The 25,971-nt window shown below is 45.8% G+C and overlaps 1 protein-coding gene and 1 long non-coding RNA gene across 2 annotated transcripts in view, besides 3 other annotated features; one reads left to right on the top strand and one right to left on the bottom strand.

Moving 5' to 3' along the window:
- SND1 (staphylococcal nuclease and tudor domain containing 1) overlaps positions 1–25,971 on the bottom strand; it is a 440,400-nt gene that overhangs the window by 34,226 nt on the left and 380,203 nt on the right. The window lies entirely within an intron of this gene.
- On the top strand, positions 4,531–10,895 carry LOC124901743 (uncharacterized). Its single transcript, XR_007060515.1, has 2 exons — positions 4,531–4,630; positions 5,549–10,895. It is a non-coding gene; the product is annotated as an uncharacterized LOC124901743 (long non-coding RNA).
- Positions 20,714–20,773: a silencer, noted in NCBI's record as "silent region_18600". NCBI's record gives its function as "represses an Ori minimal core promoter by ATAC-STARR-seq in GM12878 lymphoblastoid cells {active_cell/tissue: GM12878}" and the evidence as "EXISTENCE:reporter gene assay evidence [ECO:0000049][PMID:35858748]".
- Positions 21,512–21,651: a silencer, noted in NCBI's record as "silent region_18599". NCBI's record gives its function as "represses an Ori minimal core promoter by ATAC-STARR-seq in GM12878 lymphoblastoid cells {active_cell/tissue: GM12878}" and the evidence as "EXISTENCE:reporter gene assay evidence [ECO:0000049][PMID:35858748]".
- Positions 25,648–25,717: a silencer, noted in NCBI's record as "silent region_18598". NCBI's record gives its function as "represses an Ori minimal core promoter by ATAC-STARR-seq in GM12878 lymphoblastoid cells {active_cell/tissue: GM12878}" and the evidence as "EXISTENCE:reporter gene assay evidence [ECO:0000049][PMID:35858748]".

The raw sequence follows: 25,971 nt of genomic DNA, 5'->3' as shown, positions 1-25,971 counted from the left end.
TAATAAAGCTGAACATCTCCCTCACAAGGTTTAAATGAGTTAATATATATCAAGCTCTTAGAACAATAAGAACTCAATAACTGTTGGCTCATCTCATTGTGCTAAGCACATGTAGTGAGAATAGAAACGTATGTTGAGTGTACCTAGGTCACAGAGTGACTGAGCTCTGTTGTTCTCTAAGAGAACACTGCAGGCCTTTGGCTGATGCATAGCCCAGCTTGTTTGCCTAGCACTGGCAAGGGGTCAGGTCTCTGTGATTTCTAGAACTACATGGGAGCTTTCCTCTGAGAGAGGGCAGGGTGTGGTGAACTAGAGGTTGTGAATCCTGGCCTGATAGCCAGGCTAAGGGACTAGTCCTTTGGTAGATGCTGCCTGCCCAGCCCCAGCCTGAGCACTGGTCACTTTTAGTACCTGCAGGGAAATGTGGATTTGTGTCTCTAGTCTCATTTCCACCACCTCCTACTTGCCTTATACTACAGGGACTCTTTGATCTGGGTCGACTGATCTCTGTGTTCCCTCAACACACACTGAAGTTTCATATCTCTGTGCCTTTGGACACACTGTGTGTGGTAGAGATCTATCTCCCTGGCTCCATTCTCTCCTTTTTCTGTTCCTTTTATTGCATGCATCAGTATGGTCAGCTGAAAGACTACAATCCCCAAGTCTTGTTTCTCACTGGCCACACTAGCGAGATTCGGCAGAAATTTCTTGGTGGGACTTCTAGGAAAGCATTTGCTATCTTTGTGCTTTCTTCCTGTGTTTTGGCTTCCTGACTGGAAGGATGAGGTAAATGGCTAGAGATCTGTAGACACCTTGGACCCTGAGAATGTAAGCCATGTGCTAAGAAATGCTGAGCAGGAGAATGAAGGGGCCTGGATCCCTGCTGATACCAGGTGCCACTGTATTGGTTCTGAACTGCCCACCTCTGGGCTTCCTATGAGAAAGAAGCAAACTTTAATCTTGTTAAACGAATGCTGTTTTTGGTCTATATTACCAGCGACGAAATGCTATTCCTAACTGCTGCATTTGAATCTCTCACTGGAATTCATGTCCTTCCTCTCCCCTTGGCTGGGCAGATGTCTAATTCTTATAGATTCAGCCTCGGCAGTCCTTCCTCCAGGAAATCTTTTCTGAAGCCCCAGTTGTGCACCACAGAGTATATAAAGGAGTCCCCCTTATCTGCGGTTTTCCTTTCCACAGTCTCATTTACCCGTGGTCAACCGCTGTCTGAAAATATTAAATGGAAAATTCCAGAAATAATTCAAAGTTTTAAACTGTGTGCCGTTCTGAGTAGCGTGATGAAACCTCTTGCCCTCCTGCCTGGGACATGAATCATCCCTCAGTCCAGCATATCCAGGCTGTAGATGCTACCCGCCTGTAACTCACTTAGTAACCCTCTCCCTCTCTGTAACCAAATCGACTGTCATGGAATTACAGTACTTGTGTTCAAGTAACTCTTATTGACTTAATACCCCAAAGCACAAGAGTAGTGATGCTGGCATATTGTTATAATTGTTCTGTTTTATTATTATTGTTATTAATCTTATACCTTATGTATAAATTATATGCATGCATATGTAGGAAAAAAACACTGTATATGTCTAGTTTGGCACCGTCTGTGGTTTGAGGCATCCACTGAGGGTCCTGGAATGTATTCCCTGTGGATAAGGGGGGACTACTGTACCACCCTGTATTCTCATTGTTGATGAGCTCATGAGTCTGCCAACTCCTTGATGGCAGAAAACAGAGCTTGATTTTGTGGCAGAAAACTATTTGACTTTGTGGTCCCAACTCCTAGCATGGCGCCTGACACACAGTAGAAGGTCAGTGCATGTTTGCTAAATGAATCGAATGAAATGGAAATACAGATGCCAATCACTGGTACTTATCTATTGATTTGTCTTTGCTTTTAAGAATGTTTGATTCAAAGAACATAAAGGGAGGATAATCTCAGAGAAACAAGGCCCTTTTTTCTTTTGTTACTGATCCAAATGCAGTCCATGGCATATAGTATCTGGGGCAAAGGCTGGCTCATTATGGCTGCGCCCTTCCAGCTACTGCCCCTGAACACAGGTTCTGTCCAAAAGCCAGGCTTGGCAGGGGATAGATCATAAATGCTCGAGGCAAGAGGCTCTGCAGTTGTCCAATTCCACATCTGAAGGAAAGACCAATAGCTCCTTGTTACAGGGAAGAGGAAGAGAATTAACACTTATTGAGTATCTGCTGTGTGCTACACACTGAATTAAGTTCACAAAGACATGCATGTTGTTTTACTTAATCCTTATAACCATTTTGTGAAGTGGTTGTTTTAAGTCCCATTTTACTAATAAAAAAATGGAGGCTTAGAGAAGAACTTGCCCAAGGTCATTTGATCAATGGAGAGGCTAGAATTTGAACTCAGTCCTGCCTAATTCCAGAGCCTGGCTCTTGTCACTAGTCAGCAGGCAGCATGATTCTGCTGACATCTGGGAGCAGCACACTCCCAGATGTCTAAGTTTTTGAGACAGCCGAGGTAGAGGCTCTGGCCCAGCGAGTGGGGGATGAAGGCATGCTGAGAAAGGCCAGGAAGCAGACCCAGGGAGAGGCATCTGTCTTCCTGCTAGCCCTGGTTGCTCTGCTCTTGGGCCGAGGAGTGATGTGTCAGTATAAAGGAAAAAAGTCATTAAGGAAGCTTCAGTTTCCCTCAGCACAGAACTGCCGGAGCTCCTTTCTCCAGTGATCCCAGGCGGAGCACTCCAGTTAGCAGCATTCTGGGCTCATTACCTTTGGGGCTCGTTGCATCTATTCTCTGTTGGTTGCTCAGCATGAGCCCAGCCCCAAAACTCATCATTACTTCTCTGACTACCTGGGAGCCACTGGCTGCAACCTCTTCTTCTTGGACCTGCACTGGGAGGTGGTCAGGTTAGGGCATCCCCTTGCTGTAAGGCCAATAGGTTCCCATTTCCTTCCTCCCCTGCTGCCATTACTCTGCAGAGGAAAGCTACAGCAGACACCCAGAGAGGGGCTCTAACTTTGAAGCTACAGGGGCTCCTTTAGATCCCTGTGGTGGGAACATCAGCCACACTGAGATGACAAGAACATGGGAACCCATGGTCCTACAGAGCTGCCAGGGGGAGGAGCACAGGCTGTGGAGAAGGTAAGGCTGAAAGAACAGAACCCGGCCCACCTTCCTGCCTCCCAACCCCCTGACTGGATCTACCTTTTTCATGCTCTGACCAAAACAAAATCCTTCCAGCTTTCCCAACTGAAACAAAACAAAACAAAACCACGAAGTTTATAATTTAAAAGCCCAGAGAATTTATTGCCCTGGAGATGTGGAAATTTAAAACTCATAACCATCCTGCAGGCCAATAGATCGGGCAGATATCCATCCTATTAGAATAACTCTACACTGCAGACATCCATCTTATTAAACTAAATCGTTAAGAAAGGCTTTCCCCACATCACAGAGATGCTGTGTATGGCTTTCTGCTCACCTTCCTCAATACATTCATCAGCCCATTTTGTTTCCTCTGTTGACTTCGGCCTCAGAATTACAAACTACTGAGAGGCAGCAGAAGTTTTAAATTAAGTATTCATGGGCATAGGTGAGCTTGGGAAATGATTGTAGGTCACGAGGCAGGCAGGGAAGATTTAGTGCCTCATGTGTGGGGAGAAAAGCCGAGGCTCATTAACAAGTCTGGATCCAGCCTGGGGATAGAGGAGCCAGGGAGAGGAAGAAGAAAAAGGGGGCTGAGGAGGAGGAATTTAAAAGCTCTTTGGTCAAAGGGCCAGACATGCCACATGACAAAATGAAAATTACTGGAGACTTTGAACCATTGCTAATGCCAACCTCCGTGCAAGGCATTCATATCTGCTATGCAGAACAATCTATGTGTGAGGTGGGGACCTTGGTAGGATAGGCAGCTAGGTGCTCGTGCCTCCCTCCACTTCCCTTTGGGCATTTCCAGATTCCCCTTCTGCCAGATAGTTCTGTGTTACCAGCACTTACCATAGATATGGTACAGCCAAGGCTGTCTTTAAGAACACCAACCTCTGTTCCTGGCCACCTCTGGGGCACCACTGGGTGGGACTCTTTTCCTCCCCACTCTGGTTTGCCTTAGGAGGTGAGATGCCGATCTCTGTTCTCTGCCTTCCTGCCACTGGAGGGCTGTCTCCTGGAGAAGGCACTGAGGCCTGTGGTCTACAGAGGTCTGCATAAGTAAGCCTGTGTACATGCCACCGCCACTCCATCTGACCACCATGCAGGTCATTCACTCAGCCCCAGAAAGGAGACCCAGGGTACTGCCGATGACTTACTGACAGTGGCCTTAGCGGCGATCAGTGGTGCTGGGAAGATGGGCAGCAGCAGGCCCATTTCTCCAGGGGCCTGCCCCCTGTACCGGCCATTCCCATTACCTTGTTTTATTTTCTTTTATTGCAGAGCGGCTCCAGTGTGTGGGCAATAAAGCTTTGACTGCTGCACTCCACAGGCCTGGGGTCGGGGAAAAGCTCAGCCTGCCGGAGTAGGACAGCGTGGAGAGTGGAGGCCCAAGCAGGAGGCTGATTCTGGCTAGTGTATCTCCAGGGAAGCAATACCAGAGAATCCTTCCCTAGTCTGAAAGGCCCTTTGAGGACCAGCAGGAAAAAGGTGCCGCTCTGAAACTAGGGCTTTTCCCTGGTCTCCCATTTATCCAGGATCCCCATCCTCTGCTTGTGGGTTTTGTAAGTCCCCTTCCACCCCAGAAAACACTCTCTCTCAGCTGCTATGTTCCATCCTCTTGCTCCTGGACTGATTTCTTTCCCCCATTGCCCAGGTATCTCACTTCTGTCTTTTGAACAATTTTGTGTTCCACAGTTTTCCAGGTAGTGGGGGGAAAATATTACCTTCCGAAATCTCTGGCCTCCTGCACCATTTTTTTTGAACCCTGAGAGTCACTCAGACTCCTGAAGACAGGGCAGGCTAAGGGGAGAGAATTAGCTCACAGCATCTCACAGAGCTGGAACAGGGCAATTCTCCACTTAAGTGCCCAAAGCCTTGGGAAATGGAAGTGCTGGAGTGGCTGAGGCTAGAGAGGGGCTTCTTGAAGTTTCAGGTACATGCTTGTATGGGATAAAAGAGGCTTTAGGAAGAGGAAACAGAAGCAGCTATTTGGCTTACTGCCAAGACATGGGGTGACAGAGCTTCCTGCAGTCCTAAATGGTTTACAAACATAGAACCTCTGCCAAAACTTGTCCTTGTCAATTCTGAAAGCCTTAAAACCCCATAATTGTGTCTCTAATGAGACTCTCTAAAGAGACCCTTCCCCACCAATTGTCTGCAACACACTATTTAATCTGGCTAATGCCTATTCAATATATGTAAGCAAATTTTTTTATTCAATGCATTTGATTTATGCTCTATTTTTATACCAACCAGTTTAAGATAATCATATGCCAATTCTTGTGTGTTCTAGACTTGCACTATCCATACAGTAGGTACCAGCTCTAAACTAGAAGTCCCTGAAGGGTAGGGCTGACTATTGGTCTTTTCACATAATTTTCTTAACTATAATTTTTCTGCCCCAAGGGACCCATCGAAGTAACACTGAAATCCGAGGGAATGATTTTCAGGGCACAAAAGTAGGGTGGGACACAAGACTGGCATTCCAGACACAGCCCATCGGGCCAGGCTTTGGACAAGGAGATGGATTTCATCTGATTTCCCTTGACGGACGAGTTGTGTTCAGCAAACAGCCTGGTATGCAGCTGTCACTCTGATGCTGAGCTCTGACAGGCATCGATCAGGCTGCGGTGTGAGCATGCAGATACACACACAGGCCTCGTCAACATCCGTGACTTGGAAGACAGCTCTGTCTGGGGCCAGGATGACTACACCCCTTTCAGCAGATGCTGCTAGGAGGAGATTGCACCAATGGGGAAAAGGAGACAGGATGGAGCTTCTTCCAAATACCCTTTCCTGGGCGGGAAGACAAGCTGTGGCAATGAAGTGGAGTCACAAACGGGAGGAGAGACAGATCCAACCTTGATGGACAAGCTGCCAGAATGGGAGCTTGTCCAGACAGCTGAGATGGGCATTAGGCTAAAGCTGGGGCACTGAGCTAGAGCTGGACATAAATGGCCTGTAATCCCTAAGTCCAGGCAGAAGAAATGGACCACTGGCAGCCCCAGCCTTCCGTCCTGCCTGGCAGCTCCTCTGGGCCTGATGTTGCCCTCAGAAAGCCCTAGTGAGTTCCAGAGCACTCCAACTGAACTGAAGGTCATCTGTCCCAATGCTTCCTCCCCAAAGCAAATGTCATCCTTACACCTCTGATATCGGTGTCTATCAACTTCGATCTCCTTCAAAGAAGCCCATTTCACTGTTAGAAAAGTCCTCTTTCAAGTGAATGCCCTCTAACTTGAACTTCTTCCTACTGGTCTTAGTTTTGTACTCTGGAGCAATTGGAAACACATCTGATCCATTTTTTTTATTTACCAGTGGATGACTTTTAGAAAGTTCTCTGAACCCAAGTATCACTTAGCTCAGAGGACTGGCTACCTTGAGGACTAAACGAGAGAAGCTCCGTCAAAGGATGGGCACAGCACTTAGCAACAGTAAGTACACAAGTGTTCGTTCCTTGCCTCCTTCCACATGACAACCATTGGTATTATCAGTGTTTGTCCTTTCTTTCCATCCCGAGTGAATTCCATTACCTGGACCTGGATCCCATATTCTACACCACCCAGGTCCCTTCCTAGGAATGCCCCTCCATTTATCAGGATCCCTCTAAAAACACACTGCTTAGAACTGAACACAGTATCTCAGATGCTGTTTAGGCAGTGCAGAATAATTACCTCCTTTGATCTATATGATTTCTCTATGAATGCAATTTTTATCAGTCACTTCACACTGTTAGCTACAGTTGGTGGTAAATAAAACCCTGTGGGGTAATTTTCATGTAAATTGCTGTCAAGCTAGGTCACCTTCATCTTGTAATGGTGTAACTGATTTTTGAACTTAAACATGGGACTTGTGGCCATCTCACATTGGAAGCTGCAGCCCATCTCTCTCTCTCTCATACTTACAGGAGATATTGAACTTTGATTTTTCTGTTCTAACAGTAAAAAGTCTTGTTCATCTCAAATGTCTTTCCTGGGCCTCTGCCTTTGTCTTCGGGAGGGTGGACTCAGGGGCAGAAACATGAACTTGCACAGTGGCTCCAAGATACCCCATGGGAAGGATTTGGTGACACTGTCCAGGAGGAAAACTCCTGCACTGGGAAGCTGTGGGAAGCTCTGGAAGCAAGCACACAGGGCAGAACCAGAGAAGGAGCAGTCAGCACTCCACCCTCTGGAAAGCCTGAGCCCCCTCCTTCCCAGTTACTGGATCTGAGGCTTTCACTCAAGCAAGTGAAGCTACTGCCACTCGCATGGGCCCAGCGGTGGATTTGGTGGAGTCTACGGTCAAAATGGAGACGACACAGAAAAGAGCTCAGAGGCATCTAGGAAATGATGCTCTTTCTCAGCTCAGGAGGACTGACTTAGCCCTGCTGCCTCCCAGAGCCCTTCATCACGGCAGCTCTGCCTATCTTCTTGGATTAACAATGGTTCTGTCAAATAAGTATGGAATGTTTCTGGAAAAGGCTGGCTGGGTCATAGGTAGATGGTTGTGGGAATGCAGAGAACAGAGATTTGATTTGCAGGTGACATGATAAATGGAAGAGAGATTTGGGCCCTAAGACTGGGGGAAGAGATGGAAGACCAAAAAAATCAGCCAGAAACTTGAGGCTAAAGAGAGCTTTTCTCAAGTATTGCTCCAATGGCAAAATTGCTGGGGATCTGAGGGACATGTGGAACTCATTTGGGGTCTAGCTCCCAGATTTTATACCAGCAATAAGGTCGATAACTAATGAAGTCCTTGCTACAGTGCAGTAACTGAACTGCTCACGTCAGTGAAGCTAAACTTGCAGAGGCTTTCTTTTCTCAGTATCAGACTCAATGCTGTGAGGATAAGTTATCTGGGGAAAAGAGGTAAGGAGAAGAACAATGAGGTATGGGATTTCTACTGTACTTTTTTCTGTAGGACCTGCTGGATCCTTCTGCCTCAATTTGTCTGCAAATGACATAAACATGCATTAAAGATGGCCAGAAAACAGTGACTTTTGCAAATGCCTCCATAGAGGCGTTCAAACAGAAAAACCATCCACATGCTAAAAAGAGGGAGGTGAGAAAGAAGAGGGAGAACTGGGTAAATTAAGTGCTCCATATCTTGTCCTGTTAACGTCTCCTTTACACACACATACATGTAAGCGAGTGCTTGCATGTCTGGTTCAGTCTTCTTACGAAAACCCAGTGGAAACAACCATGCAGTCTCTGAGGCTACCTGCCTTAGACAGAGAATGTCACTGAGGTCACTTCTGTTTTTATTCAGAATGCAGTGCTCTCTGAGAACCCTTTCCTTTGTGGGCGTTTACCCCAGCCTCCCCAATTCCAGCCAAGCTTTCACTTGATGATTCTAAGACATTAGCTCAGAATCTCTTTTACCTTCACACTGCCCCAGAGATCCACTGTACCCTGGACCTCATCATTCTATCCTCTCCTGCATACGTTGCTGGGACACTCTAGCCAATTTCTTCCCATAATTCTTCATAATATTATCATCCCCATTTTATGGATGAGGACCCTGAAGGTTAAAGGATTAAGTGGTTTAGGTCTAAGGCCATGCAGCTGGTAAGTGACAGGGCCAGAATTCAAACACAGGTCTCTGATTCCAAGGTCCACGCTGCTGACCATAATGCCATCCTGCTGCACTGACACTTCACTAGACTTGAAGCTCCTCAAGCCTTCTGGTCTTATCAATGACAGGTGGTGCTTGGGGAGGTGAGTGCTCTTAGAACTATGATGGACTTGAGAGGAAAGGAAAGGAAGAGGGGGAACTGGTGGGCTTCATGTCAGAATGGCACCTGAAGAGGAAACTGTCCTTGTCGGGAGGCCTTGGAGGGATGGAGTGGGGGCAGTTTCGGGGAAAGAGCAGTTAAGAGAGGAGAGGACAGGAAGGAGAGGGGCTGGGAGATAACAACATGGTGGAGCAGGGACTTGTTTCTTTTAACCAGAAGACAGAAAATCTTCTGGGGCACTTGACAGAGTGGATCAAGTCCCCCAGACTTGACTTCATCAATTGTGGAGCCTTCCACGGTGTTATAAAATTCAGGCTGAGTTGGGAAGAGAAGAGTGAAAAAATCTGCAGGTTGAAATCATGCTGGTTTTGCTCCAGTAAGGGTAGCATGAGGGGTTAGAGGGAACACTGCAAAAGGAGCAGACCTTGAAGGGGAAAGGTTCTGGCCCCATTTCTACCTTGAGATGACTGTGGGGCCAAAATAGCCAAGGCTGCTTAGAAGGAGCTCCAAAAGGCTCTGTAATGCTGCTAACAGTCCTGCTCTTTTGGAGACAGGAAGACAGATCAGACAAACACCCGTGTGAACAGCTGGAAGAAGGAGCTGTAAACCAGAGGGACCATTCTCTCTCTACTCACTGAAAGTGCACTGCAGAAGAGCCAGTGGGGTAGAGAAGACACATGGGGGAGTGATGAATATTTTATTTGGAGAACTGAGGATCTCTTACAGCAGCAGGGATGATACACATATACCCTGCATCACTTGAGAGCTCCCTGTGGCCCCTTTTCTAATAGCTTTCTGCCGTCTCGCCCTCCAAAACAAAAACTGGTCCCAGCAGCACTCTCCACAGCCACTGCAGCTGGACAGGCCACCACTGAGAAGCTGTTTTCAGGGGTAACACCTTCCCTCTCTCCCGTCCCAAGGCTGTTACCAAACAGGCTGCGTGTTTTTCCCAGTTCATCCCACTCTTTCCAATCAGTGCTAATTGAACCACTTAACTCAAAGACAGTAACATTTGTCGTTTCAAACCATTAAGAAAAGTGACTAAATTGAGGCGTCATACATGAGGCCTGCTCTGGCATCACAGCACACTCACATGCAAACATGCCCACAAATGCCCACAAGGCACACTCAATGTGTAAACATGCACAACTAACAGAGCTTAAGGAGAAAGTCTGCAAAGCGTAGTCAGCAAATGTCAGCCTGTCTTTCTCAACAAGTTTTCCTGAATTGGAAAAAAAAAAAAAAAAGAAAAAAAATCACTGCCAGTTCCAATTCGGAGCCTGGAAATTGAGGCTGTGGTCTCAGGGTCTCCCAGAGCTTCTGCCTCTTGCATTCTCTGAAGTCCAGATAAGAACAAGGAAGAAGACAGTCGGGTGCGGTGGCTCATGCCTGTAATCCCAGCACTTTGGGAGGCTAAGACGGGTGGATCACGAGGTCAGGAGATCGAGACCAGCCTGGCCAACATGGTGAAACCCTGTCTCTACCAAAAATACAAAAATTAGCCGGGCATGATGGTGGGCGCCTGTAGTCCCAGCTACTCGGGAGGCTGAGGCAGGAGAATTGTTTGAACCCGGGAGGCCGAGGTTGCAGTGAGCCGAGATCACACCATTGCACTCTAGCCTGGGCAATAAGAGCGAAATTTCGTCTCAAAAAAAAAAAAAGATGCAGGTTCATAAACAATAAGTCATACAAAACTCATTTCCTTTGTAGGTGGGTCACTAGTCTGTAAAACAAGGAGTCTATCTTAAACCTGCCCAGGGACTGAATTATTTTAGCTGGGTCAATGACGGGGCACAAAATGGAAACCACAAACTAAGTTATACCCTTTTCAAAGATCTCTCAACTCTGATTATGTCTTAGTTTGCCGCTAATCTGTCTTTAGTATCTCTTTCACAAAAGAGGAGCAGAGCCTTACAGGCAAATAGGATTTAGCCAGAATTCACCAACACTGTTCTGTATTCTATGTGTTTATTTTTAAGATTTCCTTTCATTTATGGTAAGTGGTATTTTTCCATTTAATAAAGCTTCCTTTAAAAAAGAGATTTCAGAAAGAACAGAGTGATTTGAAGAAAAATATTAGTGAAATAATCAGTGGTACCTGGATTTGGCTAAAGCACAGGCATGGTATAAAAATATCTGAAGTTTGGAAGATCCTGCTGTAAATGGAGCTGGGCAATAGCAGGGAAGGGACCACTGAGTGGCACTTAGGCTGCCTGAGTCCACAGGCACTCACTGTGGAAAGGTCCACGGGTTGCCTGATCAACAGCCATTTCCACCTTCTCCCTGCTGGCAGGTGCCCATCCTTTTTTCTCGTATGTGACTCAGGAAAATGCTGACTGGTATAAGTCATTTTTTGTGCCATGGACCCCTCTGGCAGTTGAGGGTAGCCTATGGACCCCTTTAAATAATAATCTTTTTACATGCATGAAATATATAGGATTGCAAAGGAAACCAATTATAGTGAAAATTATGAAAATATTTATAAAAACCCATCAAAATCAGGATATAAGTACATGTATTTCTTTATCAACACACTAAGAGATCTAACATCAGCTCTAAAAACTACTATACTTTCAAAGAAGTGGTAAGAGTAAACAATATTCTGAAATTCCTACAATTACTGTAATATGATATGAATATATTCTTTATTTCTATTGGTGATGAATAGATAAATTAGTTTTACTTTGATTTGCTGCTTAATTCATATTCAAAGGAAATAGTTAGTCTTAGCAGTTAATACAAATAAAGACACACGCTAGGTGCTGTGGCTCATGCCTATAATCCCAGCACTTAACGGAGGCTGAGGTGGGAGGACTGCTTGAGGATGGAAGTTCTAAACCAGCATGGGAGGCAGGGCACAGTGGCTCACGTCTGTAATCCCAGCACTTTGGGAGGTCAAGGCGGGCAGATCACTTGAGGTTAGGAGTTTGAGACCAGCCTGGCCAACATGCTGACACCCCATGTCTACTAAAAATATAAAAATGAGCTGGGCTTGGTGGTGTATGCCTGTAATCCCAGCTACTTAGGAGGCTGAGGGAGGAGAATCACTTGAACCCGAGGTGGAGGTTGCAGTGAGGTGAGATCATGCCACTGCACTCTGGCCTGCGTGACGGAGTGAGACTCTGTCTCAAAAAAAAAAAAAAAAAACACAACAACAACCAAAAAAAAAACCCAAAAAAACAAAAAACCCCAAAAAACCCAGCATGGGCAACATAGCAGGATCCCATCTCTACAAAAAATAAAAACAATTAGCCTGGCATAGTGGCACCCATCTATAGTCCCAGCTAGGCAGGAGGCTGAGGTTGGGAGGATTGCTTTAGCTCAGGAGTTTGAGGCTCCAGTGAGCCATGATTGTGCCACTGCACTTCAGCCTGTTTGATAGAGCAAGACCCTGGCTTCAGGGAGAAAAATTTTCTGTATCCAAATTCATGGCTCCTCCAAATCCCTAGTCTCAGCCAATCATTGGGGTGGAGGAAAAGAGTTCCCTTTCCTGGTTTCACATAGTGGTTTAGGAGTGGATGTGTCATCCAGATCTGGATAATCAGTTGTAAAAGGAAGTCAGCTGAGATGCTTGTGGGGAAGGATTTTTTTCTTTTTAAACTTTTAAAAAGGCACAAAACAAGAAACTATGCTTCTCCTGCCTTTGTCGATTGGTGTATGAGCATGCAATGCCTAGAGCTATGGCAATCATCTTGCAGCCAAGAAAGGTACTTGTGGTCATGGGGAGAGAATGGCAGCATAGAAAGAGGGAAAAAACCAAGGTGCCTGATTCTGACCTGGGGACATATCTTAGTTAAACCAACCACCCCTCCCCTGGAGCTGTCCTACTTAGGGACTGACATTTTATGTGAGATGATAAATCTGATTATTTAAGCTGCTCCTATGTTCTAGTGCTGCAGCATAAAACACATATAGCCTAAAGTGACCCATGAGTCTTTACCACAGTTACATATGTCTTTTTCCACTTCCAGAAAATATTAGGTGGCTGAATCCCCCTAATATTTCTGCATCACAGGGTAGGAGTGGCATGGGTTGCTCTGTGCCCCAAACCCATCTCTGTCCTTTATTCCAGTCTCTCAGGCTCCTTGATGTAGAGCAGAAGAGCTGTCTAATAAGAACTGACAGGATGGAGGCCATAGGGACTGCTGATGACAGGAGAGAGCCCTCTTAGCAAAGGATGCCACCCAGAGGGCTGGAGCATGGCTTAGAACTCTATTCTGGGGGCAGCCACTGGGTGGGGTGGGGAGGAGGCACAGCCAGGGTCCATGGAAAACTGTTCTGGAAAAGAGGGAACAGGCAGCCCAGCACAGTTGTGAAGTCAAGAAACAGAAAGTTGGCGTTTTCAGGTTCTTAACTGGTTCTGATCCAAATATCTGGCCTGATAACTACTCCAATTCTTTACAAGAGCTCCTTTTGCTTTTTTCTCCCATCAGCTCGTATCTGCCTCTAGTTTCCACGCTATCTATGTGCAAGCTTCTCAATTCATAGCCATAAATCTGATACAAAGCTTGGAGAAGGCATCAGACAGACCCTGTAATCTGTGCTAATCCTAAAATCAGGAGCTAAACCCAGGACACAAATGGATTTGCAAAAATAAGGATTTTAGAAACTCAGATGGCATTAGCAGGCCTCAGAGATAAATGTACACAACTGAACACGATCCATCAGTACAGAAACAGATATAGTATGTTCCTTCTACTCCATATGAACTATCTGGAAAAATAAAGTACTGAATGGGAAAAGGCTGTTACACCTCCAGGGATGAGAGCAAAACCATTTCAAAAATGGCTTAAACTTGAAGATTCTCTTAAATTGTTTAGGAGTAGGAATGAGAAGACGGATAAAAGGTGTGTGTGTGTGTCTGTGTGTGTGGCGGGGGTGGGGGGGGAGATGGGAGGGGGGAAGAAGATGAGCTCCTTTTTTATTTTAAACACTTTTTGATTTTTTTCTTTATTGTAAAAACAATGATTTCAGCAAGGTAAGAGCAAGGAAGAAAAAATTTTCAAAATAAGTGTGTTGTACACGTATGGGACCCATACAGGAAATTCTGTGGTAAACAGTTTTCAAGCCACTGGTTTCAGATTTTCTGCTCATCTTACCTATCCCATGGGACAAAGGTCTCTGGAAATCAGGCAGGGCTGCATTTGCCTACAAAGCCTGATTCTTTAGGAGTCTGCCTGTCCCTTTGTGGATGCGGCCTGAATAAATCTTTCTGTGCTACAAGTCAGGGCTGCAAAGCTCCTTGACCACACCGAGTGGAGAAGTGATAACACACAAACCACAAGTGCCATTGGCCCAAGTGTGGCGACAGGACACTTTAGATAGGAGGTGGGTCTGGAGAAAACTCTCGTTCAGCCAAATGGAAACATTTTGTTGCGTTTTCTTCTCCTCCACATACCCAGATGTGAAAGCAATGAGTCTTGGGTAAAGTCCTTGGCTGGGGCCACATCTTTATTCCCACTCTGCTACCTTCTGTCCCCAGACACAGCCTCTCTCAGGCCCACAACCCTTCTCTCCGCACTATTCCTCTTCTAAAGGCTTCTAAAATAAAATGGAAGAAAAATATTTGTTTGGTTACATTGTCTTATTTAATAGACACTCTAAGTGTTGCAACGTTTATTACGTGTGTGTGTGTGTGTGTGTGTGTGTATATGTGTATATATATACACACATATATACATATATAAAGATACACAATATTGTATCTTTACATATTGTGTATTTATACACAATATATAAATACATATATAAAGATATATTATCTGAAAAGGGGCAGAAATAAGAATCCTGCTCCTGAACATCTGGTAGCTGCAAGGTAACATTCTTTATCAAATTGAGACCAAGAGGTGTTCCTGCCTGATAGGAGACCAGGCCTGTCAGCACCACCATTCATATATTTCAGATATATAAATTTATATATATATATAAAAATTTATTTTTTGAGATGGAGTCTCCCTCTGTCACCCAGCTAGATGCAGTGGCACAATCTCGGCTCACTGCAGCCTCTGCCTCTGGGGTTCAAGTGATTCTCCCACCTCAGCCTCCCAAGTAGCTGGGATTACAGGTGCATGCCACTACACCTGGCTAATTTTTGTATTTTTAGTAGAAATGGGGTTTTACCATGTTGGCCAAGCTGGTCTCGAACTCCTGACCTCAAGTGATCTGCCTGCCTTGGCCTTATTACATGTATATTATTTATGATGGACTAAATTCAAAATAATTAGGGCAAACAAGATACAAGGAGGGTTTTAATTTGGCAAAGATGAGGCTGGTATTAAAAAAACCCAGCATCACTGAAATATGAGAGGGGAGAGAGACCTGGTGTAACCTCTGAGATGGGCACCTGATTAAACATACTTCAGCCACCCTCTTTGGCTTTTCTCACAAAGAGATGTGGCCTAAGATGGAGCTGTTCAGGGGGTAGAAGACTAAGCCCAGCCTGCCATTCACGTGCCAGTGATGCTGTCTTCTAGGCTCTCATGTATGCGTGAGCCCTTAGAAAGTTCTTCATTACCCACTTAATTCTTTTCCTTCACAGAAAAGAGTACTTAATGAGAATGGTCTTGTTCACCTAAGCAAGTGAGTCAAGGTTATGTGGTTAGAAAACTCATTAATAACAAATAACATCTTAAAAGAGACAGATTCAGATAGCAGCTGGCAGGAGCCAACTCCTCCAGTGGCATTAAAAACAAGACAGGGTTGGTGGTGGTGCTGACAGGCCTGGTCTCCCATCAGGCAGGAACACCTCTTGGTCTCAATTTGGTAAAGAATTTTACCTTGCAGCTACCAGATGTTCAGGAGCAGAATTCTTATTTCTGCCCCTTTTCAGATAATAGGTGCAAAAGAAAGCTTTAATGGGTTAGGAAATCAAACAGGTTCAGGGTACCACAGCTCTTGCTTGGGGAGAGAGTGAAGGACCAGTCCGGCAGGACGGGCAGCAGTGCTGAGCAGAGGCTACAGCCTTCGCAGGATCTGAGAAGAATGACGACATCCCCAGTTTGTTGGCTGGTTGGTCTGTTCATGTTCATCTCCCCCCTTTTCCACTTACTGTCTCTCTTGCATACACGGGCACCACCTTGAATGGATCCTGCTGACTGGCTCATGGAGGCTGACTGCCAGAAGCCAGGGCAGGAAGGACAGGGCGTAAGTTGCTCAGTGTTATCTGGGATCCCAAGATGGTCTCCTCTTGGGGAGGGATCCCCAGGAGCTCTGTGCCAGATCCAAAGCACCAATAAGTTGCTGGGCCAGAGAGGCTGTTTTCAGGGGAGGGAGGAGAGTCCCTGTCCATCTCAGACACTGCTCACTCACACAAAGCATCCTTTCAGAGTTGCTGGCTGGCAGGGTTTTTTTTCAGGGTTTGTGCACTGAATACAAATCGAGTAGCCTCACTGGGCTGCCATACAAACTGGCCCTAGTCACCAAGAAAGTGATAGAGAATGAGAGCTCTTCTAGCCAGGCTGCCAGTGTCTAGGCATCATGGTAGGAGACCCCTCAGATCCCCAGCTGGTAGCTGCACAAAGGCTGGGGATTTAGCACCCCCCATCAGAACCAGAGCCATTTCAGTCTGGTGTTCATCAGAGAAACAGTTTAAAGTAGACCAAGATGAAAGGTTCCCCAGAACACCCTGCTTAGCATTCTTGGCTGGTAGTGAGGTAAACATTGAAAGATGGGGATTCATGGCTTGGAGTGGTGTTGGGATGAGGCAGAACAAGTTTCAAGGTGGTCATGTTACCTGTGGTTAAAAAGAAATAAGCAAACAAATCTACCTGTGAGTTCTAGCCAAATTCAGAGCTGTATCAGAGAAACTCAGTATGTAAATGTGAGAGAGTATGTACATGAATAGACCAACTAGCCAACCAACAAACTGGGGACATTCTCATCCTTTCTAAATCTGATAGAGGAGCTGAGAGTTCTAGCACGTTTAGATCATGTTCACCTATCCCCAATTCCTCTAGATATAAAGGTGATTTTCCACTGGAAGCATTTGCAGACAGAGTTGCCTCTAAAAACGTGGAGCAAGAGCAGATTGGAGGCTTGATAGATCTAACTCCTGAAGAAGCTCAAGTCATAATAAAAAAGGAACGCAGCATCCAGGAACCTGGATGTTAGCCAATTCACCCATTGGTTGTTTGATGACTCATGGGATAGCCAGTGGTGTGGGCGCTGGGCTGGTTTCCCGGTGTTCCCAATGCTGCGCTGCCCTCCACCTCTTATTTTTTAAATTGTTATTATTATTATTTTAGAGATGGGGGGTCTCATTATATTGCCCAGGCTAATCTCAAACTCCTGGGCTTAAGCGATCCTGCATCCTCGACCTCCTGTAGTGCTAGGATTATAGACAGGAGCCCCTGCACCGGGGCCCCCTCCGCTCTTAAGGTAAAGTGCTTGTCCTTTTGCTCAAAGATGGGAAGGGGTGGGATGAAGAGTACCAGCTACAGAGAGACAAAGTTCAAGCCCACATTTCCATCATGGGTCCCTTAATTCCCTCCCTGGAACTCCTTAGATGAGACAAATGAACTTGCCAAGGAACTCACGTTACTAGGCCAGTACTGAGTGGACTACTAGAACAGGAAAATCCTAACCATAGCTCAAGCTGGAGGCATACAATTGAAAACAATTAGCAAACTGTGCAAGGCAGCTTGATGGCCACAGATGCTGATGTTTAAAGAAAATGAACAACAGATCAAGAAAGCTGGTAGAGAGGAGGCAGCGCCAATGTGGCACCACTCTACAAACCAAGGGATTAGAACGGCTTGGAGGCCATGGAAGAGATACAAGAAGAAACCCAGAAAAGGACATAATAGGTTTCAAGCCAAATTGAATAGATTAAAAACATGGAGAAAGTTCCAAACTGAGTAAAAATCTTTAATTTAGTCAGAAATTCCGTAGGATAAGTATAAAAAGTATGTTCCCATTTTGTTGCCACTTTACAGATGCTAAAATTTTCTCTGGAGCACAGAGTTGCTCAGTTAAGGGGCTCTAGAATATTCCCAGGAGAAAGGTCTTACCATGTCACTTTTTTTTTTTTTAGGTGTCAAACCATGTCTTTTTTTTTTTTTTTTTTTTTTTTTTTTTAAAGATAGGACCTTGCTCTGTTTGATGACCAGAGTTGGAGTGAGTGGTGCGATCTCAGGTCACTGCAACCTCCTCCTCCCAGGCTCAAGCAATTCCCCCACCTTGGCCTCCCAAAATGCTGGGATTACAAGCATAAGCACTGCACCTGGATTTTTTTTTTTTAAATTTCTGTGACACACCCCGTGTTTCAAGGAAACAAAATCACAACGTGAAGAAATATCTTCCATCCAGGCAAAAGGAAAAGAAAGTCACTGACAAAGCTGGAGAAGGACCCAGGTAGCCTGGGCTCCCAGGCAGACTCAATACACAGCTGTTTGCTGTCTCCCTGAGTGTTTTTAAATTAAGGGTTCGTTGATGGAATTCTTCCTTGGTCAAGCAAAATTTGGGGACTGACAGGTAATAGAGATGAGAACCCTAGACAAAGGGGACCAGAAGCTCTGGGCTCCTCTCCTTGCCCAGCAGGTACCCGCCGACTGTGCTATAGCTCTGGCACTCAGTGGGATATTTATAGCTGCCTTTAAATTTACCCAGCTCTCCATAAAGCGAGGTAATGGGGCGCCCTTTACTGCTGCTAGTGGTGATTGTCCTAACATTCTTTAATTAGCAAAAAGCGTTGGCACAGCCACTTTCAAAGCATTTGATCTTACTGTCCTGGTGTTCCCTATTTCAGGCTCAACAGCCCCCACTCCCTTTGGAGAAAATGCACTTTAGCCAATTTGAAAATGACAGGCTTATGTGTACATGAGCACAGATAATGTGTATTTGTGCACCTATGCTCACTCCTCACATATTCACAACTGCCAAGAACCCGTGAGCCTTTATGATACCTCCATAAAACTCTCCTTCATAAATCTGTCAGCAAGGGGCTAGGAATTCTAAAAATTGAGAACTGGAGACACCTTAAGGTCACTAGGATTCTCCTTCATTTTTCCAGTATTAAAAAAAAAAATCAGGCTAGTAATTTCTCACCTGCTTCTTCAAAGAATGTAAGTAGAGCAGGGTAGGGCTAGGGCTATCGATAAAATTAGGAAGGCCTGAGCTCTTACCCACGTGGGATATCAAAAACAGTCCTCATCCCTCTGAAATAATAAACTCACTGCTAGGTCTAAGTATTGGAAACAAGATGCAGGGGCCTCTGCTCTTGTGGGGATGCACAATAGACAGCCCATAAACAAGACAATTTCAGATAATGGAAAATAAAATGAGAAAAATAAAGCTGAGTGATATAACTGTGATGAGTGGGGCTACTCTGGACAGGACAACCACCTGAAGATATGGGGGAACATTTTAGGTTGTGGGGAGAGTAAAGGCCTTAATGGGGAGAACCATGTAAGAGTATTCCAGGAAAAGAAATTCAGTGTAGCTGAAGGGCAGGGAATGAGGAGGAAGACGATAAAACCTGAGGGCAGAGGTGCAGGCAGGGATGAAGACTTAGGGCCTGTGGGCCATGGGAAGCAGTATGGTTGTTATTCAAACTATGAGAGGAAGACACTGGGGCATTTTAAGCAAATCAATAACATAATCTGATCTACTGTCACAAAGATCACTTTGGTTGCTATGGAGAAGAGACTGTAGAGGGCAAGTGTAAAAATCTATGTCTTGAATAGATTAATTTCTTAGTTTTGAATAAATGTTCTGTGGTTATGTAAGATATTAACTCACACAAGAGAAAGCTGGGTGAAGCACATATGGGAACTCAGTACTATTTTTGACCTGTCTATAAGTCTAAAATTACCTCAAAAAAAAAAACCCAACCCAGTAACTGTTAAAAACAAATAATGAAAAACATCTCATACCTTAAATGAAGAATTGAAAGTTATAAATTAGGTGCAATAACAAGAGCAGGTATCCAGAAGAAAAGAATCCCCTCAGTAACTGACTTTGAACAAGACAGCCTCTTCTATACCGGTTTCCGTATTAGAAAATAATAGATGCTACGACCATTACTATTTGCTGAGATTGTGATTTCCTTTACTTGCTTCTAGTTCAACAATAGCATGAAATAAGTTATTAATCCCACTTTACACGTGAAGAATCTGGGGCTTAAACAACTAACCTATATATACGCGGTATGTAAGAGGCAGAACTGGGGTTTAAACTCAGGTCTGTCTGACTCCAGAGATGCTTTGCATCCACCAGTACACCATAATGCCCACTAGCATCCACATACACAGACACGCATGTGCTCTTATGTGGCAAATTTTGTATTAGTCCATTTGGGAAAAAATATTGTTTTGGGTTTTCTCCAACCAAAATCTGAATAATTTTAAGCATACACTGTGTGTCTGTGAAGAGGCTAATTGTAAGCATAGGCATGGATTAATGATCACATTTATGTTTCAGATACCTGAAAAGCCACTCTATTCATAGCTCTCAGTTCCACATCTGCACCTGCTGGCCCTGATCTGGAGGTATCCCTTAATCTCCAATGAACATGAAGCTCAAAATCTCTAAGACTTAGATACAGTGGAGCCAAATTTGGTGGCAATGCCAGGAGGTACTTTTGGTGTTACTACTGGTAAACGCTTAAGTGTTCCAATATCTTTGGGATAAAATCTAGAGACAATGTAAAGAGAAAGTGAGAAAATCATTAAGAATGGAATCAGAAACAGAAAATAAGAGACAGATTTTTCCTGAGTGTGTCTTGTCAGCCTGCCCCCTTCTCTTGGCTCATGTGATGCTTCCTGATTGAGAGACTCTCTCCCTTCCCAGTGGGAAGACCCAACAGCCACACAGCTCCTGCTTGGCTCCCCTACCCTTCACAGGCACAGGTATAGGGAAGAGTCACCTGCTGGTTGTCAGATGCATTGTCCCTTTCCCCTTCATGTTAAATGGCACATCACAGCATCACAGTGGTTGAGTTTGGGCTCTGTACTGAGACTGAAACCTGGCTCTATCACTGTAATGGGCTGAATGAGCCCCTAGAAAAATAGGGGTACATCCTCATTCCCAGAACCCTGTGACGGGAATTTGAAATGATGTCTGCAAAGACCCATTTAAATTAAGGATCTTGAGATAAGGAGATCATCCTGGATTATCCAGGTAGGCCCTAAATCCAATGACAGGTGTCCTTATAAGTCACAAAGAGGAGAGAGGCAGACAGAAAAGGAGAAGGCAATGTGGCCATGGAGGCAGAGACTGAAGTGATACAGCTGTAAGTCAAGGAAGGCTGACAGCCACCAGAAGCTGGCAGGGGCAAGAGGCAAGGAATGATTCTCCCCTACGGCCTCTGGAGGGAGTGCAGCCCTGCCAGATTTTGAACTTTTAGCCTCCAGAACTGTGAGAGAATATATTTCTGCTTTAAATCACCAACTATGTGGTGATTTGTTATGGCAGCCTCAAGAAACAAATTTAGTCACTCATTAGTAGTCAGTTCTGTGATCCTGAGAACACTTCTTAAATTCATCTGCAAAATGGGGAAATCTGATGGTACCCATCTCACAGAGCTGTTGTGAGGAGTAAATATGTGTAACTTAACACAGTACCAAGTACCTATCAACGCTGCAGTAAATGTTGCTATTAAAACCATTATTACTGCTATACACAGGCAATTAAAGAGGAAAAGCCACAAGGGCCTGGAATGGGCCAGTGTATTTTCATGCAGAAGTGCATTTTCAGGGCTCCTGGCTGAACCTCTCTTTTCAATTTGAACATGTAAGTGACTGTGGCTAGACCACATGCAAACTATTCCAAAAGAGGAGGCAGAGTGCTAGCTGGGAGGTTTTCCCCATCACTCGAGCCTGACAGCCCACAAAGAAACTGTAAGCCCTAGAAACTTAGTCTTAGAGGAGAGGGAAAGGCCTCTCCATTCTATCTCTTTACCGTTTGTACTAAGCACTGTGTCTTTTCTTAGCCAAGGTTTTTAAAAATTGCTCTTGATGGGACCTGGAGGGAGAATGCTTTTTTATCCTTTATTGTCCACTCCCTTCTGACTTCCTTAAAGAGCTGAGTCCTTGGGGGAAAAGAACAGTGGATTCAAAGCACACTCAGAAGAGTGGGTAACTCTAAAACAGCTGTCTTGCCTTGAATCATCAGGCTCCAGGAATAAAATCCATTCCCTTTATGACTGTGGGTAGTAATGGCACAGCCAGCCTCACTATGGGATCACAGGCAAGAAAAATAACCTTCCCTTTGCAATTCTGATTTTACTTATTAAACAGAAAATTCATGGCTAGTTGTCCCTGATAGGTGTTTGCACACGTGGGTGGAACTAAGACACACACACACACACACAAATGTGTTCATTACCTTGGAAAGAAGGCAGTGACTATTTCCATGTAGACCATTCCTACTTTTTATTATTACTGATTCACCAATTGATATCTTTCCTTCCCTTTGTGGAGGGCAATTTCCATACTACTTTTTTCTTTCTAGTTTCCCAAATTCCTTTTATGTCTTTGCTCCTGTTCTGTTCCTGCCACTGATGGACCTACCCTTAAAAGAGTCCGCAAAGCCTATTTGGTGGCAAAACGATACCCAGCTCACTCCTGGAACACCCTATGAGGCATTATGGACATCTAGTGGCTGCTCAGGATAATGCCTCAGGGATGCATATCAGGTTAGGGAGTGGTCTAGCCTTGGGCTTTACTAAGGAACCCAATTATCCTGGCTGGGTGGGAGAGTCCTGGGTCCTCTAGATGACCATTTCTGTCATTTTCTATTGGCGACCCAAAGTCACTAGGAAGTGCAGACTGGTGCTATTGAAGACTCTTCTTTATCCCAATCCAGCAAAGTATAGTTGCACTGGCATACAAGCCCACATTAGACAGGCATTTGGAAATATCTTCAAGGCCCAGGTTTAAATGCCAATTAGCCATACATTGTTACTTAGAGGAACTGAGGTCAAAAAGGACAGACTCTGATACTAATCAGTCATGTAGCTTTAGGTAAGTCACTGTGCCTCTCTGAGCTTCATCAGTGACATCTGTAAAGTGAGAGGTTAAATCCAGATAATCTCCAAGGTCCACTTTAGTTTAACATTCTGTGATCTATGTGTCTTTTTAGTAGCTGGGAAAACACAGTCCGATTTGCTCTGCTCCAGCACTGTGGATCTCTAGATTAAATGAAGAAAGCATTCTCACTTAACTTTGTGGCCCATTTCCAAGACTTGGCTACAATTCCAAAGGATCAACCTTCACAGAGCTACATATCTGAGATGGGACAGGAATCATGGACTAAGAGAGCGGTAAGAAACTTTCTAATCCATTTCCTTGATTTTATAAATGGAAAAACTGATGTTTAGAGCTATTTTAAGATTTGTCACATGTCTAAAGGGGACTAGAACTCAGGTATCCCAATCTTAGCACAGGGCTCATTCTATAATACCAGGCTGCTGACACAGGCCTTCCCCAATCACTGCTGGCTTTTTTAGCTCTCTCTGGCGTTATCACAGCAGTCTCCCTGTGTGAAACTGCAAGTGAAAACAATCTGAATCCACTGTCTCTTCCTCTTAGGGTGTAAGTAGCCTTCTTTCCTTCTTATTCTTTGGTGGCACCATTCCAAATCCAAGAAGCAGTCAGAGCCACGGGCTGTGAGGAGCAAGATGCCATAGCTAGATGGTACTTGGGTTACCAAAATGAGAGGCTGCAATCCCACTTTCAGCTCAGAAGGGCTGTGTGCAACGACGGCCCCACAGCCTCCTCTGTAGTCCAGTTAGTAGGTTCAGTGGTGCTTTCCTGGCCCAGCTGGCTTACAGGGGGCAAAGCAGCCTGATGTAGAGCTCGACAGAGCTTGGGCATAGTCACCTTCATGGATGGCAGTCACAAATACTTACTGAGAGACAACCTCATTACTAAGTACTGGTCTGACCCAACTCGGCCCCCACTTTCATCTACCTTTATAGTGCGGGGCAGCAGCTTTCATTTGTGGAGCCTGGAGCTGAACAGACAGGGTTTGAGTTTGCCTACAGTAGCAGAGGACCAGCCCAGGCAGAGACCCTGTTGCCTGAGGAGGGAAGGATAGTCATACTTAATCGCTGCCATCCAGACCCTGGCCAGGGGTCTCCTCAGGCAATAGATGACTCTACTAGGTCGGTGCCAGCTATAAAGGAGCAGAACCTCTCACCAGAAAGTCTGAGTGCCCAGATGGAACTAAACCCCAGTATCAGGGTTTGACTTACCTCCATGTCTCCCTCATTCTTTTTCTTGATGAGAGTTCATTTTCTCAGCCCGTCTCCTACCCTTCATCTTACTTCTCTGACACATCCTTCACTGAACTTTCCTACAGTCTCTCTCTCCTCCCCCCTCCACTTGCCTCCACCATTTACTCTATGAAGAGTAGACACAGCGGGCATTCCTGTTAGTGATGAAAACATCGGACTCAGGGTTTGAAGGCTGGATGGAAAGGCTGGCTCTGTTACTTTCTAGTGTGTGACCTTGGGCAAGTTATTTGCCTGCCTAAGCTAAGTGCCTTCATCTGTGAAATGGAGACAAGTGTGGCAATTACTTTCACTGGGTAAATGAAGATTAAACAAGAACAGATATAAGTTCTTGGTATGGTGGATAGTACATAGTAGATAAGCATCCCAGTAAATGACTATTGAAGTGGATGAATGAAACCTGAGTTCTCATCCCACTAGGAGAATACTTTGGGGAATCACTTCCACACCCAAGTTTCTTGACATCTGAGACGTGCTGAGGCTCAAATCCACTATCACTTACTAGTGACCCTAGGCAACGTTTGACTCATATAAAATGAATAATAGGGTTGCAGTGGAATACAGAGTAAGGGTTCAATAAACAGAAACTAACAAGGTTATTATTTGACAGCAAATGATAACAGAAAGGTCTTGGCAAAGAATGGGGACTCCAACTTGCCTACAAAGGAACCGTTTCCAGGACTTCAAGTATTCCATGGCGTATTTAAAGAGGTTCAGGTTACTGGGCAAAAGACAATACTCAGAAATAGGTGTGGTAGAAACCAGAGAGCTGAGAAATCTGGGACCTCCTCGTTCTTAAGCAACAGCCCACGCGCAGGTGATGAGGGTTTATCAAGCGAGCCTGCCAGAAATCACACGGGGAGAGGGGTGGGTTGAGGAGTCTGGAGGCAGCTCTTGAAGGGAAGGGATATTAAACCATGCTATATTCTACTGGACCGGCTTCCCAGGGCTCAGCTAGATTGCCTCACCCACAGTCGGCAGAGAAAGGGGCAGTCTTTTTTCAGGGGGGTGGGAAAAAGCTGACCTAGTCCCCTTCTCCTACACTAGTCTGTCAAATGCCTTAGGGTCTCCTACCAGAAATAGGAGCAAGAATTCCACCCCCACTCCCAATCGCTACCCCTGGCTGCTACGCAGTTCTTCTCAGAGTCCTAGCCAAGGAAGGGCTGGCGAGCTCACAGGGCAGGGGGCTCAGCCGCCCGCCTCCCTTCCCCCAGTTCTCTGGGGGCAGCGGGGAGCAAGGGGCGACTCCGGCCAGCGAAGACTGAGAAGCCGCGGCTGCAGCTCCATGAATGAACGGGCTGTGTCGTGGGCTCCGGGAGTTCACCTCAATCCTTCCTGCCGGCCTCTGTGCTGTCCCAGGTTGCCATTCCCCAGCTCATCACACTTGGTCATTCCTGCCACTGTTTCCCGCCCCCGCAACCCTCATTAAGGAAACCCTCATTTAAAGCCCCAGTGAGAGCACAGGAGGGGTGAGGCAAAGCGAAGGAGGGGCTGGCGGCAGTGCAGCAGCGAAGCCCGGGCTCTCGGTCCTGGGAGCCTCGTGGCCCCGGCCGCCGTCCCCCGAGTCCCCACCACGCAGTTCCGAACTCCGAACGCGAGTCCGCGCCCCGTCAGCAGTCAGCGGGGGTGAGGATGACGCGGGCCGGGCGAGAGGCAGGCCAAATGCAGCAGCCCCGCCGCGGGCCGCCGGGCCCCTGAGCCCCGCTCTTCAGAGCCAGGGGGCCCCGGGTGCGGGCCGGAGGGCGGGGGCCGGCGCGGGCTCTCCCGCCGCAGCCCCGCGCCGCTCCAGCCTATCAGCGGCCACCCAACTGCTCCCTCCGACCGGCCCAAAATAGCTGCGAACGCCTGCGACTTGCGCGCGGCCCCTCACTTGACGCTCACTCC

The sequence above is a fragment of the Homo sapiens genome, chromosome 7, assembly GCF_000001405.40.
Source record: "Homo sapiens chromosome 7, GRCh38.p14 Primary Assembly".
Taxonomy (NCBI): domain Eukaryota; kingdom Metazoa; phylum Chordata; class Mammalia; order Primates; family Hominidae; genus Homo; species Homo sapiens.
Note: the sequence above shows the minus strand (reverse complement) of the source record. Positions and strands in the feature narration are given on the sequence as shown.